The sequence below is a fragment of the Homo sapiens genome, chromosome 1 (genome assembly GCF_000001405.40).
Source record: "Homo sapiens chromosome 1, GRCh38.p14 Primary Assembly".
NCBI classification, from domain to species: domain Eukaryota; kingdom Metazoa; phylum Chordata; class Mammalia; order Primates; family Hominidae; genus Homo; species Homo sapiens.
This window is the reverse complement of record NC_000001.11, coordinates 146,564,138-146,584,231: the sequence shown is the minus strand read 5'-3', so window position 1 is coordinate 146,584,231 and position 20,094 is coordinate 146,564,138. Positions and strand designations below refer to the sequence as shown.

At 37.7% G+C, this 20,094-nt stretch overlaps 1 pseudogene across 1 annotated transcript in view; it reads right to left on the bottom strand.

Annotated features, from left to right (window-relative positions):
• Positions 1-20,094, bottom strand: part of HYDIN2 (HYDIN axonemal central pair apparatus protein 2 (pseudogene)) — a 335,703-nt pseudogene that overhangs the window by 237,803 nt on the left and 77,806 nt on the right. The window contains exons 13-14 of the transcript NR_103556.2: positions 10,198-10,399; positions 3,000-3,183 (exon numbers count right to left, since the gene is read on the bottom strand). The product of NR_103556.2 is annotated as an HYDIN axonemal central pair apparatus protein 2 (pseudogene) (transcript). The remainder of the gene's footprint in view (positions 1-2,999; positions 3,184-10,197; positions 10,400-20,094) is intronic.

Sequence of the window (20,094 nt, the reverse complement as noted above, 5' to 3'; positions counted from 1 at the left end):
AGTCAGGAGGGGGCTGGGGGTAGGCCACTAGTGAGTCCTGCCCATTTCTATTTCAGAAGCAGGAAGAACGGAATTGCCTCGGATATGTTTCTTTGCTTTTGTAATTTTCCCAATTGGAAACATTCTCTGTCTCCTTTTCCACTTAATTAAATCTTACCCTTCCTCCAATCTTCAGTTCAGATCGCATTTCTTCTAAAAATCCTTTCCCAACTCACTCATCTGAGACTACTGTAGCATTTATTTACCTGAATCAGAAAACCAAAATTTCAACAGTAAAAAGCACCCTTGGTTTGCATTTGTGCCAAGAAGTCTGTGAAATAGTAGAATTTTCCCATTAAATACCTTTAAAAGTAATGTATAAGGTAAGATTATAGTACTTTCACAAACGAGAACTGTATTTATATAAAACTTTCAGGAACTATAGTTTTTAAGTAAGGAGATTTAACATAAATAAAGAATTCATTATAACTGATACTGAGTTCTGCTGTTTTGACCAGAATAACTTTGGGAAAACTAGGAAAGTTTCATGCTTTCATTTTCACTTTGCAAAAATTGTCAACCAGCTAATGAATACTATTATGAAAAGAAAGACTAAATAGCACAGGAGGAAAACAAAATCATGATAGATTCCATAAAGACCATTTATATTGGAAGTGAATATTTCTGCCTATTTCTGGCATCACCTCCCCCCCGACAATACAAATAAAATTAGTCTCATTTGCTTAAAAATTATCATTTTGGTACCATTTCTGTGTATTACTAAAACGTTTTTCTTCCTAAGGATAAAAAAAGGCTTCGTGACAAGAATGCTTAATTCAGTTCCCACTTGGAATTCAAAAACTATCATATTAGATGCCATATTTTAACATACATACATCTCCTTCATTGAACTGTGGGTTATGGAAGGAAACATAAGGAGAAGCTCATTGGAGGTAATTCCAGTGTTCCTACTTCTGAAATAGAAATGGGCAGGACTTACCTATGGATTATCCCTGGCCTCCTCCTGACCACCATGTTGTGGTCCCAGGGCTGCCCAGGGGGAGCAGTCATCAGCCTGGATGTCCAGTGCAGCTGGGAACAGTCTTGGACCGCATGAACCTTACCAGTATGTTTAAGATTAGCACAACTGATGGCTCTTCCCTGCCTCAGCCCAGCTCAGCCACCTGCTTGCATGCACCAATCAATAATCCCTTCTTGACCTTTTCCATATCTCTGGGCTTGACCTATTTTCACTTTTGGTCCTCATCTTGATCTAACCCATTATATTTGGAGATCCCTTTGCTCACTTGAGCCCTAGATAGTCCTCTGACATAACAGAAGTCTCAGCCTTGGCACACATCTCCAACCTTCTTTCCCTACATGAACCCTTGACTTCAAGAAACTAGTCTACTCATAGAGCCTTGGGTGAACCATGCCATGCACATCGACAATTTCATTCTCCAAAAGGCCTGTCCTGTGAGACTCAGGCCCAGGTTCTTCTCTCAAGAAGCCTTCTCCAACTTCTTTGCCTATGAAAATCACCTCAGCCTCTGAACTAGAATACCTTACTGTCTTCTCCAGTGACTCACATAGCCGGTCCCAGAAAACTGTGTCCCAGAGGATGTCTCCAAGGGAAAAGCTCCCTCTTGGAGATTAACAACACACATTAGCATATTAAAGACTTTCCAAAGTCTTATAACCAAGAAACCTTTCAAACAATATTGACTCTCACGTTTCTCAAACGTACTTAGCCATGGAGCTCCTTTTCCGTGTTATATCCTTTAACAACAATTTAGAAGTGCAGATGGAAGGAAAATGAGCCTGCATAAGTCAATGGCATTTCTCACAAGTGACCTTGTATTCTAAAGTGTCCTCGTGTCCATGTCTCTTCTGTATCTGATTTAAATGGCAACAATTCGGCAGCGCTAACAAGCTGCAGGCTTCCTCACCTCCTATTGCTGTTTTTTTTGTTTGTTTTTTGTTTTTTGTTTTTTGAGATAGAGTCTCCTTTGTCGCCCAGGCTGGAGTACAATGGTGCAATCTCGGCTCACTGCAAGCTCCGTCTCCTGGGTTCACGCCATTCTCCTGCCTCAGCCTTCCTATCGCTGTTTTGATCCTCATATCACTCTCTGCCTGGTGGGAGTGAGCTAATACACAGGAAGCCTGTAGCACAGCACCTAGCATACAGTAAATAACAAAGCTGCTATTTCTTTGATTTGGGGGCAGTAGGGAGAAAGAGTGCTTAAGAGTTTAGTCTGTGGAATCAGACAGACCCCATTCTAATTCTGGCACAGCTCTCACTAGAAAGACTACGAGGTCAAGGATCATGTCTGTTTTGTCCATCAATGTCTGGTACACGCACAGTGCCTGATACAGGCCATGCAGTCAATGAGTATTCAATGAATGAATGAAAGACAAAGCAGGTCTCAACCCAGGTGATTTTGCCCAACAGAGCATATTTGGCGGTGTACAGAGATAGTTTTGGCTGTCCCACTAGCATCTAGTGGGTAAAAGTAAGGATGTTTTGCATGAAACATCCTACAATGTATAGGACAAAGAATGACCCAGCCCCAAATGTCAACAGTGCCAGGGTTGAGAAGTCCTGCTGTACAGTCAGGCCAAACAGGGATGGATTTCTAAACACTGACCCCAGCTGTTAGGCCTTGAGCAAATCACAAAATTTCTGTCTTAATATCCTCATCTGTTGAATGGGATTCTAATGGGATCTTGTATTGTACACTTGTAAGCTAATACATATTCAAATGAGAAGAACTGCATAATCCTTAGGAAGTGGTTAACACAGTGACTGATGCATGGAAATTGTGACCTATATATGTGTCCCATGACATTCTTACCATTACCTTCTATATAATGTCTCACAGTGATGGTGAGTTTCTTCAGGTGGACTCTTCACTCTCTTGCAACTCACTGTCTCAATCCCCAAGTGAGCGCTCTTATCAAAGCAAGCCTGTGCTCCCACTTACATTTCCTGTATGGTCAGCTTTTATTTATATGCTCACCAGGGGCTCCACAGTGAAAACGTTATTGAAGAACAGTTTGCTGTCTCCCTGCACCAGCCTCCTTTGATTCGCAAAGGTTCGGGACAGAACAGAAAGATGTTCTCGGAGTAAAGGATCAGTAATGCACTCTTCAAAAAACTCATCAGTCTCATCCTTCTCCTCTTTGATCAGATCATCACAGGCCCTAAAGAAAACAGGCAATGTGAGATTCATGTGGGTACTCCCATGAAGAACTTTGTAAAGGGCTTCCCTCTAGTACCTCCTCCTGGAAATGCCCTCAGCCACCACCCTGGGGTGGTCTCTCCTTGCCCTGAGTCTGTAACCTGCTGCCCTTGCACTCAGTCCTCAAACCTCTCAGAGCCTCTGTTTGCTCATCTTCAACCACCTTCTTTAAGAGATCCTCCCTGGATTCCTTTCCTATTCAATACTCATTGCTTTACTCCTGAGCCCTTATGTATATCTGGACAAATATTTTCTTTCAGGTAATCCTGTTTTTTCCAGGCTGCTTTTTAAATATTTAACATCTATTCTGCCCCTCACATGGCAAGGACAATTTTGTTCCTTTTAAATTTGCTTAGCTTTAATTCTTTCTTAGCTGTTAGTTACCTGGAGCATAGAACCTGGGGCCGGCAGGGACTAGGTTTGCATACTAATTCTGTGATCTGTTTACTAGCTCTGTGACTTTGGCAGTTCCCTGATTCCTCTAAGCCTCAGTGCCTTCTCCTTCTAGAGACCATAGGAGCTGCTCCATCAGAAAGATGTGTTGAGGGTTAAATGTAATCAAGGCTCTAGTGCAGTTCCTGGGACAAAGCTGGCAACTCCATATATACCGGTTTTCTCCCTCTGTCAACCATAGGCAATCGCCAAGCTGTCAGCTTACAAAATGCTCAAGCTATGCCTTAAGGCACCTCCTTTTCTCTCTTTTTCTAGCTTTTAATATCCATCGTGATAAGAGAGAACAGCAGCTTTCCCCAATCCACTCATTGCCCCCACCAGAGCTATGTTCACATTTCTCCTGAACTTTGCAGACTGAATTTTATCTCCTCCCAGGACATACGACCATATTCCCATCATTGTACTGGTATTACCAGGGGTGAGAGACAAATTATTTAGCAACATAAGTGCTGAGTGGGAGCCTAGGATCACTGAATTCCTGTCCCAGTTCCAACTCCTGTCAGTATTGTCAAATAACTCTTTTTAAATAACATATGTGTTCAGGGTGCTTTGATCACACACTGCAAAAAGAAGTCAAAGAAATGGGCTCGGTGTGTTCTGGTTCCAAGGAAGAAAGCATCTTGTGCTTGATTTTTATTGCCAGGTAGGAGGCAGTGTCCAAGGTGACTGGCAGCATTCCTTCCACACTGCTGGGCACGGCAGGGCAAATTAAAGACAGCTCAGTTTGCAGAAAGAAAGGAATCCATTTCTTTTTTATTTGATATTTTTGTTATCTGATACTGATCTGGAAAACTTACAGATTATATACCCTTAGAAACCAAAAAATTCCACTTGCAGGAATAAATCCTTAAAAACAATCATGGATATAAACAAAGACACAGCTACAAAGATGTCCATTAAAGTGCTGGAATGATACCAGATCAAGTGGGTAAATTTGATGTAAGATAATGAAGCACTGGTTGAACAAAAATGGGAATCATGAACATTACATTTATTGGGTACCTGTCAAACTTTGCACATGCATCATATAATTTAACACTCATAACTACCAGAAGGGTCATTAGCATTATAAGCATCATTCCCACTATATAGATGATGAAACTGAGGCTTAGAAAGGTTAAGTAACTCGCCCCAGATCACATAGCTGAAAGATAGCCTGGACTTCAGGGTCTTTGGAGGTTTGAATCCCCTGGTGCTAACCAATATGCACACTGCCTCCCAGGAATCCAGGGAATATTAGGGAATAATAAGCAGCCAGTAAAGTGGTATTAAATGGAATATTTAACATCATTTTCAAATGCCTGAAATGTTTTAAGGTGAAAAACAAAGTGGTAAAATGTAACATATACAATAATCCCACTTTTGTAATAAAAAAGCAAAAGAAAAATACATACTTATTAGGGAAAAAATACAGACTTAGACATACCAAAATATTGACTGTGGTTTCCCTGGTTGGAAGGATTAGAATGGATTTTTGCCCTCATCTTTGTGCTTAATATTTTCTAAATTTTATTAGTGCACAATGTATTTCTTTTTAAACCAGAAAACAAGTCATTTAAGAAATTAAATGTTAATTAATTCTCAGGCTGAGGCACTAAGATTTTGACCTGGTTGCCTTTGCCTAACATGCCTGCATTGGCATGAGCCTGTGGATGCCACCCCTGGAAGAGTGCACAGGTGGAATGTGGGGTGACACAATGTGGTCTGGTCTGCAGAAGGTGGAGGCAATGGATTAGATATACACATAGCAACATGAATGGATCTTAAGCACACAACCTCGTGAGAAAAAGGAGAAAATGGAATACAAAATATGACTTCTCTCTGTCTCTCCCCCAAGACAATATACATTTTGAAAGAACAGATTCATGTAAAAAGATAGACACAGTAACATATTAGAATGGTATCTTTGGGGGAATTAACAGGAGTGGGGTGTGGGGATGTAAGAGAATAAATAAAATGCTTTGTGTGGACTGAGGATGAAGATGATAGTGCTCCATGGACTGAGGAGTATGAGAAATGCAATCCCTGTACCAGAAAACAAAGAGAACAAAACAAATTCGAAAACGCTGGTCTTCTCCCATGCTGTTGAAACTCCAAATCGGTAACAGCCAGTAGAAGGCAAAGGGAGGAGAGAGGGTACTGGATTCTTCCTCTGATGGAGAATTGGAGCCAGGACTGAGAGTCTAAGGAGGAGGTGTATAGCCACAACTTCATGTGGCCTGGCTCCAACAAGGGCTTCCATAGATCTCAGTCCTAGTGTTTTGCCATCTCGTCCTGTTGATAGTCATGGTTTCTTGCACTCAGAGGTGGTTCTCTTTTATAGATGAGGAGACCTTTCATCAGACAGCATAACAGCAGGCCAGCCCTCTCTTCAGTAAAACCATGGGCTTAACCCATTTTACAAATGGTCTAGTAGCTACCAACACCTTTAACAGTCAATGGGGAAGATGTGTGTCTCCAGTGCAGCAGGGTTGAATGAGTAATAGTCCCTCATCTTCAAGTACTCAAGGCCTGTAATCTGCTCCCTTCAGCACCCACAAGAGGTGCCAACTGAATGCTGAGGAGATTAAAAACTAAGAGCCATGGTCTTGAGAGCTAGAGGAAATACTCCCATGTCCACACTTGGCCTGGAACAAATGGAGCCATCCACCTTCAAATGGAAAATGGATCATGTGACTCTAAAGAGTTAGCAACTCTGTGATCAATGTTACAAATGAAGAACTAGAGATCCTCTCCCTGTTTGGCAGTACCACGTAAATCTTCGGATTTTTGTATAAACCCTAGGGAAGGAAAGGGGCCTCTAAACATAACTCAGATTAAGTTTATTATGACACAGGTGGTAGGCTCAAAGCCCAATTAAAACTGATTTATCTAAGGAAACATGTCATTTCCTCCATCTGCATATTATAGAATAAATCCATGCTGACCACTCTGAGGGGCTCCTTTGAGAATTGTAGGAGCTCTCGTACAGAGCAAATCTAGAATTAGAGCTGGCTGCTATTGAGAAAACGGCTGTGACCTTGCTGGAGAAATGGGGAGCAAAAATCCTTAAAGCCCATGCCAAGTCTCTGAATACAGTGAACGTGATAAGAATGAGCATGAAAGAATCTTGCAGAATGTTTTAAAATCCCTCAGGACAAGGTTGAGGAAGCAAGGAGGGATGAATGCAGCCTCCATTTCTGAAGAGATTAATTTCTCTGCAAGTCTCAGGAAAACATCAAAAGAAAGAAATAAAGGTGACCTTTTAAAGGTCCCTATACATCTGATTATCAAGTTAAAAAAAAAAAATTTAAAGTACAGAACTTCTTCCCACGGGGAGGAATGTCATTGCCCAAGTGTGTAGCATGGGAACAACCCTCTGTCCCCAAACCTGGACATGTGTCCTAAGGTTTTTAGCAATACTTTGAGGTAGGTGTGGAGGAAGGCCAAACAGTAAACTGCTGGAAACGAATTGGTATTCCTGGGGCTGAAATTCCTCCACTGCAAGAAGAGATATCCAAGTCTTTGCTCATCAAGATACAAGAGGACAAGAAACCTTGATGGCTAGAATGGGACTTGAGTGTATCTGTTGAAGCTATTAGCATTATTGAAGCGATCTTAGAGCAACTTTCAGCCCCTGGAGATGAATGCCACAGGACATGCTTTAAGCCATGTTAAAATGCTAGAAAAACAGTGGACAGGCTCTTCAGTCTGACCTGAAAGTTTACCAGAAGTTAAATCTTTTAACTATAGAGGTTGCTGAAGGAGGGGGAACAAAGGAAGAAGGTGCACCCCATTATGAGCAAAAGAGTGAGACATCAAGAGAATAACGCCTGATTCAGCTCTGCAGGCCTTGCTGGGGTGCTCAAAAAAGGATTCACCCCATTCGCTAAAGATCTCGCTGCTGCTTTTCAGGGATGGGCGGGTCTCTGCCCATAAGCAAGCTACCAAAGAACATTCTGCTTTCTTGACCCCTGATGTGTGGCCTCGGACACGATCTGAGAATTTGTGACATGGAGGAGGAGGGGCCTACACTCACAGCAAGAGCACCACTGCCCTGTCCAGAAAGCAGGAGTTAAATGTTTAGTAAAGGGCAAACTTGTCTGTACTTGCCTTCCTTTCCAAGAGGTTGGGCATTTCATGACAGTTACTTCAAGGACAAGAATTCACAGCTTATAATAGGAAAGTTGTTTGCTTTCTTATTATTATGCTTGGGCTGTATCGAGGAACAATGGAGAGAAGAGCAAGAAGTGCCACCCTGGTGCAACAAGAGATCAGCATGACTGGTATCCTTTTTCCCTCTTGGCCAAGCTCCTGGCACTCAGGAGAGAGGTGGGAGGAAGAGAAGGGACAGCACGTCGTAGACTCTTTACCGAGATAAAACAATATAGTTTGGAGAAACAGGGGTTCTGGGCCTGTATGTCACACAGAGTGAAAGTGGTAGTATTCTTATTTATCTGAAGCCACTTTTCAAGTCTATTAGTTAAAAGAGGGTCATGATTCTAGATGATAAAATCAGGTTTCCAATCATGGTTATAAAAATGCTATCCTATATTTTTCCCCTTGTTACAAAGAAGTTGCCAGAAGAAATAATAGAAAGAGCAAGGGAGATAGTAAAAGAAAATGATGCAAGAGAAAAGGAAGAATAAAAGACAATATTAAAGAGATAGGGGTGTGAGTGTCAGGGGAGGTGAAGTGGGGAAAAAACTAAAATCAATGCCCATCCACTGTGGCTGAATTATATTCTCTATAGTTTAGCATCTCTGATAACCATTGGTTTAAATTTTTTTAGAGTTTAACTGCTGAAATTAACGTCCTTACATAGTTTTTGGTATTGGCATGGCATCAATCACATATTATCCATATAGCCAAACACACAGACATGGCTGAAATTAAAGCTGGCTTTCCCTCTTACAATGGGTACTCACTCTCCACAAAGGGTTATGCCCACAGGACAAGAATGATACTGAAACACTACTTTGCTATTTTACTTTCTTTACTTGGATCTCCTTTCCAACTTTCCCTTCAAGCATGTTGGGCCATTTTGATCGCTGGTGAGCACATGTGATTGGGGGAACCAGGGCAAAGGAAGCAGTACTGGATCCTTTTCCTTGTGCCTTTTAAAACCACAGATATTTCTATGCCATAAAGCCAGAGGAAGATTTTAGGCATAAGTGGTTTTTCTTTCCTCATTTTTTAAAAGATGGCACAGTGGCAATTCAGTGATTAAAGCTCATTGTCTGAATGACAAAGCTTCTGGCCCACTGTGTCCTGTCATTGTCGTGGCTTCTGATTCAATTAGGGACTGCACACTGGGGGGGTTCTTCCTGGTTTCCACGGACCTAAGACTTTTATTTTTATCACATACGAACTTGGTTTTAAACAAAGCTTTGAAGCTTCTCAGGGCTAATCTTTAATGAAAATGGAAAGGCAAATAAAAAAGGCTGAAATAAATTCCAATGAAAGCAGCAAAAGTGTTAATTCAGGGAGGTTGGAAGGAGATAAAAATGAAAATGGAGCTTAAAAGAGGCAAGCATGGATTCAGTAAAAAGAAATCTTCAAAATTTAACAGTGATGAGATTAGCTACAACAGTTTGGTTTTACATTTTATTAATTTTCTCCACTGCCTGAAGTGCCATTTTTAAAACCATAATATTAAAGATACCAATAAGAAATCATTATTAACTTATATAGCTTGCAGGGACTGGAGCAATGCTACTAAAACCAAGAATATAAAAGCCATTATATCTAAGCCCTTCTTTTTCCTCAATCTTCATATTTTCTACAAGTATCTTTTCACTGAAAAAAATTCCACATTGATGCCAATCCAAAATAGATTATTTTTAGGAACTCTTTATAAAAGCTGATCAACCTGGCCGGGCATGGTGGCTCACGCTTGTAATCCCAACACTTTGGGAGGGTGAGGCAGGCAGATCATGAGGTCAAGGAGCTTGAGACCAGCCTGGCCAACATATTGAAACCCCATGTCTCTACTAAAAGTACAAAAAATTAGCCGGGCGTGGTGGTGGGTGCCTGTAATCCTAGCTACTCAGGAGGCTGAGGCAGGAGAATTGCTTGAACCCAGGAGGCAGAGGTTGTAGTGAGCTGAGATCGCGCCACTGCACACCAGCCCTGGCGACAGTATGAGACTCCATCTCAAAAACAAAAAAAACAAAAAAAAAACAAAAAAAAAACCTGATCAACCTAGTTAGGGTTATGAAAAGTAATAGAGACAGGTAGACTTGTTTTGAAAGAATAGTGAAGAATGATAGGTTTTGTCTTCAAAATCTAGGCATTCCATTACTGCTAAACTATAACCAGGTTACATCAACTCAGGATGGACATTCTGTTCCACATAGCTCAGCTCAGATCGTTCAAATGAGCAGCTTCAAAAGAGGATCTTACACCAGAACCAAGTTAGAAAAATGTGACATTGGTTGAGTTGGCTAAAAATGTAGTACAAAATTCACTGATTTTTCATAATAACTGAGTTTTACATTCCCCCCCTCCAAATTACTGCATATAGGTGATTTTTGTTACAGACCTATATTTTTCTCTGTCCTCTTCTTGCTGGGTAGCAAATACCTTCCACAGGAAATGGGCAATGATATTACTGCGATTGTGAATGGTTATAGTTCGCTGATTGGCCAGAGATATGTAGGTTTTCTCGATGGTCAAGGAATTCTTATCCAGCCTTATATTCATGTCTATGGCAGCTCCATAGAGAGATACAAACACCTTTTCACCTAGGAATTAACAAAGTACAAACACACTTCAAGATTTATTCTAAAATTACACACCTAGGCTATCTTTTTTTCAAGCTGAAGTTAGGCAAAATAGCATAAGCATCAGGATTTCATTCTTTCCACTGTACCCCCATCAGTTCAGAGATGAGATATGATCAGAAAACAAATATTATGCTTGGTGCAGTTATAGAAAAATCAAGCTATCTTGCCTGGTCATTGTAAGAAATATATAAAATATGTATTGTTGTTGTGGGCACTCCAAAACTTTTTCTTTTTTGTAAATAGCTTTCAATCCTACAGCCTGACCAGGAGGGCAATCGAGTTATAGAATTTTACTCTATGCCTCATCTTTAGCTCATGCATGAGCTTGATTTGTCATTCTTAAAAATGCTTGTACCAACTATACTTAAGAAGAGCTGCTCAATATGAGAGAATCTAAGTCCATTTGAGAACAGTGATCAGGAGGGAAAATTCAGTAACTTCAAAAATAGAAAACTGACTACTTAAAAGAAACCACATCCCTAAACAGCAATTAAAACAAAACAAAACAAAACAAAACAAAACAAAACAAAACAAAAGAAACACACACACACACATACACACACACACACACCCCTGACATGTCTGGATAGTGGCCACATAAAAAGAAGACAAAAATTGTACTAAAAATTTAAAAATTTTAAATATTAGGAATATCTTTATTCAGTATAGCAATTTAAGCCCCTGACTTTATTCAGGATGCACCAATTACCTTGATTCTTAGTATATAAGTGAGTTTTCAAGAAGACACAAACCTATAAACTATATTTGATTTGATCTCTGCAATGTCACAGCAGGTGCATTACTCTGACATCATATAGAAAAAATAAATATCGAAATACCATGAATGTTTTGTTGATTTATGTTGCTAAAGTTTTAAAGCATCATTACTTGCATCTTATTTTTTAGCAAACATTTCTGCTCCATTCACTGTTGTATGAACCAGTCATTCAGGAAATCAACAACCCTTTATACATTTTAAATGTTCTTTAGGCTCAATAACTTTGGATGCAGAAAAAACTTTCCCCAAAGAAAGAAAAAGTAAGCATCTAGGCATTTGACTTTAAAATTTTTATTTCAAAAACTTATATAGAGAGTCAAAATTTCAAGTACTATAAAAGCAAATACAATGAAACTAAAAAATATATTTCTCCCCTTCACCTAACTCCAAGTCTGATTTTTAGAGGTAAGAACTGTCAATATTTTCATGCACATCCTTTCCAAAAAAAAGGTATGCACTCTTGTCAACTTTTAAACTTTCTTTGAGTGAAATGTAACAATCTGATACGTGAAAACTCATTGTTACTTTAATTGGAATATCCTTAATTATGGATGGTGTTGAACACCTTTTCATAAATTAATTGGCTTAAACCAAAGAGAAAACCCCTCCTCCAAATAAGTTAATACTCAAAGAACTATGCCTTCTGCTGGTTGTGGTGGCTCATGCATGTAATCCTAGCACTTCGGGAGGCCGAGGCAGGCAGATCACCGGAGGTCGGGAGTTCAAGACCAGCCTCATCCACATGGAGAAACCCCATCTCTACTAAAAAATACAAAATTAGCTGGGCATGGTGGCGCATGCCTGTAGTCCCAGCTACTCAGGCAGCTGAGGCAGGAGAATCACTTGAACCCAGGAGGCGGAGGTTGTGGTGAGCCAAGATCGTCCCGTTGCACTCTACCCTGGGCAACAAGAGCAAAACTCTGTCTCAAAAAAAGAAAAAAAAAAAAAAAAAAAAAAGAACTATGCCTTCAAGATGAGGGTGAACTGGAAGTAGATTAGCCTTAGTGCAGAGTTGAATATCATGCTGGAATTGCCTATGTCTTGCAAATAACTTCAAACCTTGAATTTGATAATTATTGACTGGTTAGACACTTGGTGAAAGAAACTCAATTTTTTGGGGGGGTAAAGGTACTTGCATCCAAAGTTTCAAAATTTTCAACGTTGTTTAAAAAGCACATAACCAAAACATAATGATGCAATGCAAGGAAATAAAACTCCATGTGTTGGAACCAGCAGGTACAAGAAAAATGGAAATAGGCCCACAAAAATATCAGACACTAGGAATCATCAGATAGAAACTATGAACTAATTATACATACTATGTTTAAAGAAACAAATGGATTGCTGAAGCCATATGTAGGAAATAGAAAATCAATAAGATCTTTAAAAATTTTGAAAAAAGCCACACTCTAGGACTTACAGAAATAAAATAGTCTAAATTAGAAAAAACTCAAAATAAATATTTAATAAAATAATTTTATTATTTTTCATGACAAATTAGTGAAATGGGAGGTAGTTCAGAAAACACAAAAGGCAATATGAAGAAATAAAAATATACGAAAAATACAGTGGATAAGATACAAGGAAGATAAAGTTAGAAGGTCTAAAAGGATTGAATTGGAAACTCTCAGAAGGAGAGGAAAGAGATAATGAAGCAAAGACAGTATTTCAAAAGATGATGGCTAAGAATTTTGTTTGGAATTAAAGACATCAGTTCACAGTTCAAAAGGCCAGTGAAAGTCAAATTGGATAAATTTTTTAAAAATCAGACCTGAATATATTGCAGTGAAACTGAAGAAAACCGAAGACAAAGAAAAAATCCTGAAAGCAGCCTGAGGAAAAAAACATTATTTTTAAAGTTTCCACACTTGGAATTACACCTAACTTTTGAACTGAAACAATGGAAACTAAAAAATAATGGAATGATATCTTCAATATGACAAAGGTGAAAACAATGCCATTCAAGAGTTCTACACAAATTTTCCAGCTTTTTTTTGTCTGCAAATATCTTTCTTTTGTCTTCACTTTTAAAGAATACTTTAAAAGTGGTATAAATTTGCATTGTTTTCTTTCAGTGCTTCAACAGTGCCATTTGACTGTCTTCCAGCTTCCATAATTTCAGCAGAAAATTTTGCCATCAGTATTCTTAGTGTTCCTGTTAAGGTAATGTATCTTTTTTCTCTGGGTACTTTTATAATGTGCTCTTTGCTTTAGATTTCAGCCATTTAACCATAATATGCCTAAGTTTGGTTTTCTTTGTACTTGTACCACCACAGGCTTGCTCAGTGTTTATAAACCTCTGGATTAAGGTCATGTATCATTTCTGGAAAATTCTCAGCCATTATTGCTTAAAATATTTTCTACTCCATTCTTCCTCCTCCACTTTTGAGACTCCAGTTACATGTATGTTGACCTTCTGACTGTGTCCCACTTGGCTGTTCTATTTTTTCCCCATTCTTTTCTATTTCTCTCTGTGCTTCCGTTTGGGTATTTTCTATTGACCTGTCTTCAGGTTCACTAATCCTATCTTTTGCAGTATCCATTTTGCTGCTAAAGTCATACCATTAGTTCTTAATTTCCAACACTGTATTTTTCAGTATAACATTGTTATTAAAATCTGATAAAGATATAACAATGATATAGGCCAATCTATAGGCCAATTGCACTTCTGAATAACAATGTAAAATTTCTGAATAAAAATAGCTAATCATTATATATCAGCACATTAAAGGAATGATACTTCATAACCAAGTGGAATTTATTCCAGAAATGCAATAATGTCCCACTACTAGAAATCTGTTTATGTAGCAATAGATCTAAGGAAAAAAAATGGTATGATCCTCACTGATGCTGAAAAAGAATTCGACAAAACTCAAAACGCATTTTAAAAACATCTATAAAATAGAAATTGATAGAATTAAAATATAGTAAAGTCTCGGTAATTAAAATATTAATAGCATGGTAGCAGTGCATGAAGAGACAGATCAGTGGAATAGAATGAAGTCAAAACAGACCCAAATGCACACTGGAATTTAGTATATTATAAAGGCAGTATCTCAAATCATTGGTATAAAGACATATTTGTAAAAAAAAAAAAAAAAGTATTGTTAGGACAACTTCATAGCCATATGAAAAAACATATCTCATATCTTATATCAGAATAAATGTCAAGTGAGTCAAATATTTAAATGTTCAATATGAAGCCATATATATAAAACAATATAAATGAGAATTTCTTCATAACTTTAGAGAGGGAAAAGTTTTCTAACTATGACTCAAAATCCAGATCCCTCTAAAACACTAAGAAATTTGATTACCTAAAAATGAAAAAGAAACTCATTCAAAAGAAATAAATACATGACCCATCCAAAAACTTGACTGTAAAAGGGATACAGGACCTCTAAGAAACATGTACAGCTGCAAGATAGCACTAGTAATAAAAGAAATATAAAATATCATTTCATGACCATCAAATTAACAAACAAAAATCAAACAGTTTTATAATATCGTTTTAGCAATATATTGGCAAGAATATGGAAAAAGAATTTTTGTATACTTCTGATGAAAGTATAAATTGCCACAACTTGACAAGCCAATTTAGTATCCAGTAAAGCTCAGGATAATTTTGCCCTACACCCCAGCAATTGCACTTGTAGGTATTTATCCTGAAGGAAAATCTCACACAGCTGCCCAAGAAGACACTGTACGAAGCTGCTCAATGCAACACTGTTTTTAGAAGCAAAGAAGTAAATATTCAATTTTCACATACTGGAATGTGGCACATTCATTAAAATGAATCAGAGTAATGTGTATCTACGTGTTTAAATATTTAAAACAACATTGAATGAAAAAAGCAAGTTGGAGAATTTTATGTACAGTATGATACCATTTATGTGAACTTTAAAACTGCTCAAGACAATACTATATATTGTTTATGGATAAGTAAATATGTAGGAATAGCATTAAAATGCACCCAGTAAAGCTCCTCTGAGGAGCAAGATATGGGAATTAGATCAGAAAAGGGTAACAAAGTGGCTTCAGGTCTGTAATCAGTTTGATTATCCAAAAAAAATAAAACCTCTAGAAAGAAATGTGTACGGCAAAAGGTTGAGATGTGTTACATATAACAGGTGTTGATTATATTATTCTCTGTGTTTTTGTGGTTATCTGAAATATGTCATTGTTTAAAAAAATAATCAAAGGGAATAAGAGATCCAAGGGCTTATTTCACGCAACCTAGGGGTCAGAGAGACTAATGTCATTAATTTGAGCTGCTCACTGCAAAAGTCTTCCTTCCCAGAAATATAGCAAAAGCTATTTTTTTTTCAAGAACCATCCAATATTGATTTTTTTCACCACTATCTTCCAAAACTCATCAGCTCCACAAAGTGAAGGAAGCAATAACTCTTCTCTTATCCCCAAAGCTGTTGAAGTATTTGGTTTTTATAATACCTACTTTTATAGAGACAACCTGAAAAAGGTTCCCCAACCCTTAGCTACTTTGAAGTGGTTGGAAGTGGTGTCATGTCTCCAGGAATGGATGGGGAAGCTGTTCCTCAACATTAGCATTCTTTGTGTCCTTGGAGGACCTGTTCCCGCACTGGTGCCTTTTTGGTTTCCGGAGTTGCATGCTGCAATCATTGTAGATAGGCTTAGGAACAATCTTTTACTACATCCCAATACAGACATATTTTGTGGAAGGTCTCACTATCTCTTGCCAGGTTTGCTACCATCAATCAAGTAAAAACAAATATGAACAAAACTAATTTTACAAAAATGAATGTGAAGGTAACTATATATATAATACACTTCATACTATGGTTTCAGTACTCTCAGACAACAGAGGACACTAAGTTAAATTTATGGGTGGAGCCATAGATTTTCCAGGGAACTAACAAGTTGATGGAAAGTTTTTCATCACTTGGTGACAACAGGGTCAAATTCACTACGGTAGTGCATTACTGAACCGAACTTCTTTGGAAGTGCTCTTTGTTCAGGAAACTTAAGCAACTTGATGGCTCACCTGGCATGTCAGTGGCAATGCCAAAACCGGTATTCTCAGTCTGCACAGAAGGCAGTGTGAAATGCAGAAAGTGTACTGGCCTCAGGGGGTCCCAAAGACCTGGGTTCAAATTCCAGCTTTACTGAGCTGTAAAGTCATTTAACGTCTCTGGGCTTCAGTTTACTTATCACTAAAATGAAGGGAGTTAAAGAAACGTCCCTTTAAATACTAACACCTGCTAATTTGCAAGTCTTCACTTGCTATGAACTTATGGAAACCTTATCTCACTTCCCTAAACATTTAAAGCCCTGACAATCAGAGTGTCTTAACTTCTGCTACTTCCTATTCTAAGCTATGGAATAAGAAACAAAGAAAAGAAAACAAGGTCAAGTAATGTTTCCATTGCTTCTAAAGCCATGTTAAAACATTTGCTTCTTTTACAATACCTCTGTTTGGCTAGATTTTCTAGTTATAACAGCACACATTTATAATTAATAATAATCCCACCATTGAAACAAAGTTGATGTGGGTAAGTCTGCATAGATATTAATAGATTCAGATAGATATTATTTAGCATTTTCAACTGCAAAGCAGCAACATTACAGTCAATTACTGACTATATTATATTTTGGTATGCCTCTATTGGCCTTTATGAGGAAAAAAAGAAAAATTCTTTACGGTTTTAGAAAGCTTACTAGAGTAAAATATGTAAATTACTATAAAGCTGCCGTGTGAAGCACTAATATTATGACTGTGTGTATATTTAATAATAACACACCATCACACCTTTGGGGAAAAAGGTTACTTGCCAACTGCTGACTCCTAAAGTATCTCCTCTTCAGTAAGAGACATAATACTTTAAAAAACGCTGAATACGTGCATCAACTCTATTTCCTGAGTATGCCAATGGTTAATGTCACTTCTAAGGTGAGAAGAGTAACCTCATCAGGCATTGAAGAAGAAACCCCCTACACTACTATTTCTGGTACTCATTCTAGTAACCAAAGTTTCAATACAAATATCTTTTTTCTTTTTCCTTTTTTTATTTTGTTCAAATGTCTTTTTTGAAATGCTGTTCTGAATAGTAATATCTCCTTGAATCCTGTGATTATATTAATTTCTCAAGACTCAGTTGAAAAGTGCAAAACTTCAGCAATTAACCATTTGTTTGTCTCTTCAGAGGCAAATGATACTTCCAGTTATTTGTTTGGTTTTGGATTTGGTTTTGGTTTGGTTTTGTTGTTATCAATGTAGCCTTGAGTAATTGTATTTTTAATCTCTTCTGGAGGGATGAGTTTATAAAAGGTATCACCTTGCATCAGTTCTTTCTCAATTTTAGACTATAATAAAAAAGATAATTAAATCATTTCTCAGGTAAAATCAACTGCTTAAACAAACTTGATTTTACTATACGCAGGCACCCACAGGGAGAAAGAGGAAAAGAGAAAGGAGGGGAGAATTCTGGTTCAGAAAAACATTAATGGGTAAAATATTAGATATTGCTGAAACATTTTTATGCTCAACCTCCTTAATTGCTAGAGCACTGGTTCAAACTCTGGTTGTCAGAAAAAGCAAAGAAATCTCCTAACTTCATTTAATCAAGAATATATTCAGCGGAGGGCCAGAAACGGAAGGAACAAATGCCACTGTTAGGAACGTGATTGAGTACTTCCTGCTGAGGAGTGTCAATGCTGCTCCTTCTGGAACATTGTTTTAGGAATTATAAAGAAAAGACTCATCAACAGCCCATGTTAAATTTCCTTCCCCAAATAAATTCATATTTCAAACAGCGGCAGAAAGTTCAATCGGATGCTTATTTAATGAAATGAAAAGCCAATGATCATGGCTGCTTGGAAAAGCTTCATGATTAATTGTGTTTAGGCAGTTATTAGCATTTTTCACTAATGAAAGGTTATGGATTCTGGTCATTAACAACCCACAATAAAGATTGAAAGCATATTCTTAGCAGCAGTTCATTTCATGTAAGGAAAAATGCTATAAGACAGTTTACCTCTGCAATCTTCAGAATATGACTTTATTCATTCACCAAAGGTAACATCAGAACCTCAGGAGGTAGAAACCAACTTTTCTATGAATGATTAATTTTTTTTTTTTTGAGATGGAGTCTAGCTCTGTCGCCAGGCTGGAGTGTAGTGGCACGATCTTGCCTCACTGTAACCTCCGACTCCCTGGTTTAAGAAATTCTCTTGCCTCAGCCTCCCAAGTAGCTGGGATTACAGGCACACGCCATCACACCCAGCTAATTTTTGTATTTTTAGTAGAGATGGGGTTTCACCATGTTGGCCAGGATGGTCTCGATCTTCTGACCTTGTGATCTGCCTGCCTTGGCCTCCCGATTACAGGCGTGAGTCACCACCCCTGGCTGAATGATTAAATTTTAATACACAAATATTTATTGTGGTTCAACCTATCTTTCCTTTAGCACAGCAGTATATATGTAAGTATGGGTGTCATTCCAAATGCTTACATAAAAGTAAAATTGATATCCAGGGAGGCTGGCAAAATGCAGCCGCATTTCAAAGGCAGCACATCAAGAGAGCACAAATGCACACAGAGTTATATGGGAGATGAGACGATCTGCTATAGTGAAAGAACACTGCCCAGGAGGTAAGAGGCTGAGTCTGGCTTCTAACTGGGCTTCTATTTGGGCTTCTGATTAGTTCTGTGACCTTGGGTGAGCCACTTAATTTCTTAGGGCTTTAGTTTCTCTGTCTGTAAAATCTAAGGGTTAGATGAGGTTATCACTGAAGTCGTCACTCAAGTTTTGATTCTATTGAGCTATAAGCACTCTAAATCAGCTGAACTCAAAACTCAACAAATAGCGTTTTTTGAAATTATACCCCAACATATGTAGAGTTGTTTATTTATAAATTATACCCATATGCTACATTGCTCATGTGTCAAATGTATTAAAAATACCCCCAAATGTTTAAAAGAATGAGATAAAGATGAAATAAACAATTATTTTAAAGATAATGTATTTACTATTTTTACCAACAATTATTTTAATAAGAGTAAAAGGGTTGACTATGCTTCATTCTTTTTCAAACTCCTGATTTAAAATCTCGTGATACAGTGACCCAAATCTAATTCTAAGGCCACATTTATTCTGACACTTCGTTTCAGCAACTAACATAAGCAAAATCAACAAGGATATAAGACATAAGATGTATGCAAAATCAACAAAAATATGGAGATCCAGACAGAAAAAAAATGTATCACTGACCATATTTATTAGCAGGCATATGTTTCTTCAGTTTCATCCACTATCAGTACCAGTAACACAATGGTTTTGGCTGAAATTCAGCTAATAATTTTACCATAATGGGAACAATTACTTAATAGTCAAACAGGAGGTTCAAATATATCTATAATTGCATTTAACATAAAATGACTGAATAGTACAATTAAAAGACAAAGATTTTCAGACCGGATTTAATAATCAGCCTCATTGGTGATGCTTCCAAATGTCATACTTTAAATGTGAGGAAGGTTGAAAGTGAAAGGATAAACAGATTGTACTATGTCCACACTAATCAAAAGAAAGCTTCTATGTTGTATAAATATCAGATCGAGTAGACTTTAGTGTCATAAATCTTACTAAAGATTGAGACATTTTATAATAAAATGGTTAATTCAACAGGAAGTTATAATAATCCTACATGTGTATACGTCAAGTATCATGGCCTCGAAATATATAAAATGAAAATTATTAGCACCAAAAAAGAGGAACACCTAAGTTGTAGTTGTGGATTTTAATGACATCTTCCAATAACTGATAAAACAAGGAGACAAAACGTTAGTAAAGATATAGATTGAATGGCATCATTATTAACAAATTTGACCTAATTG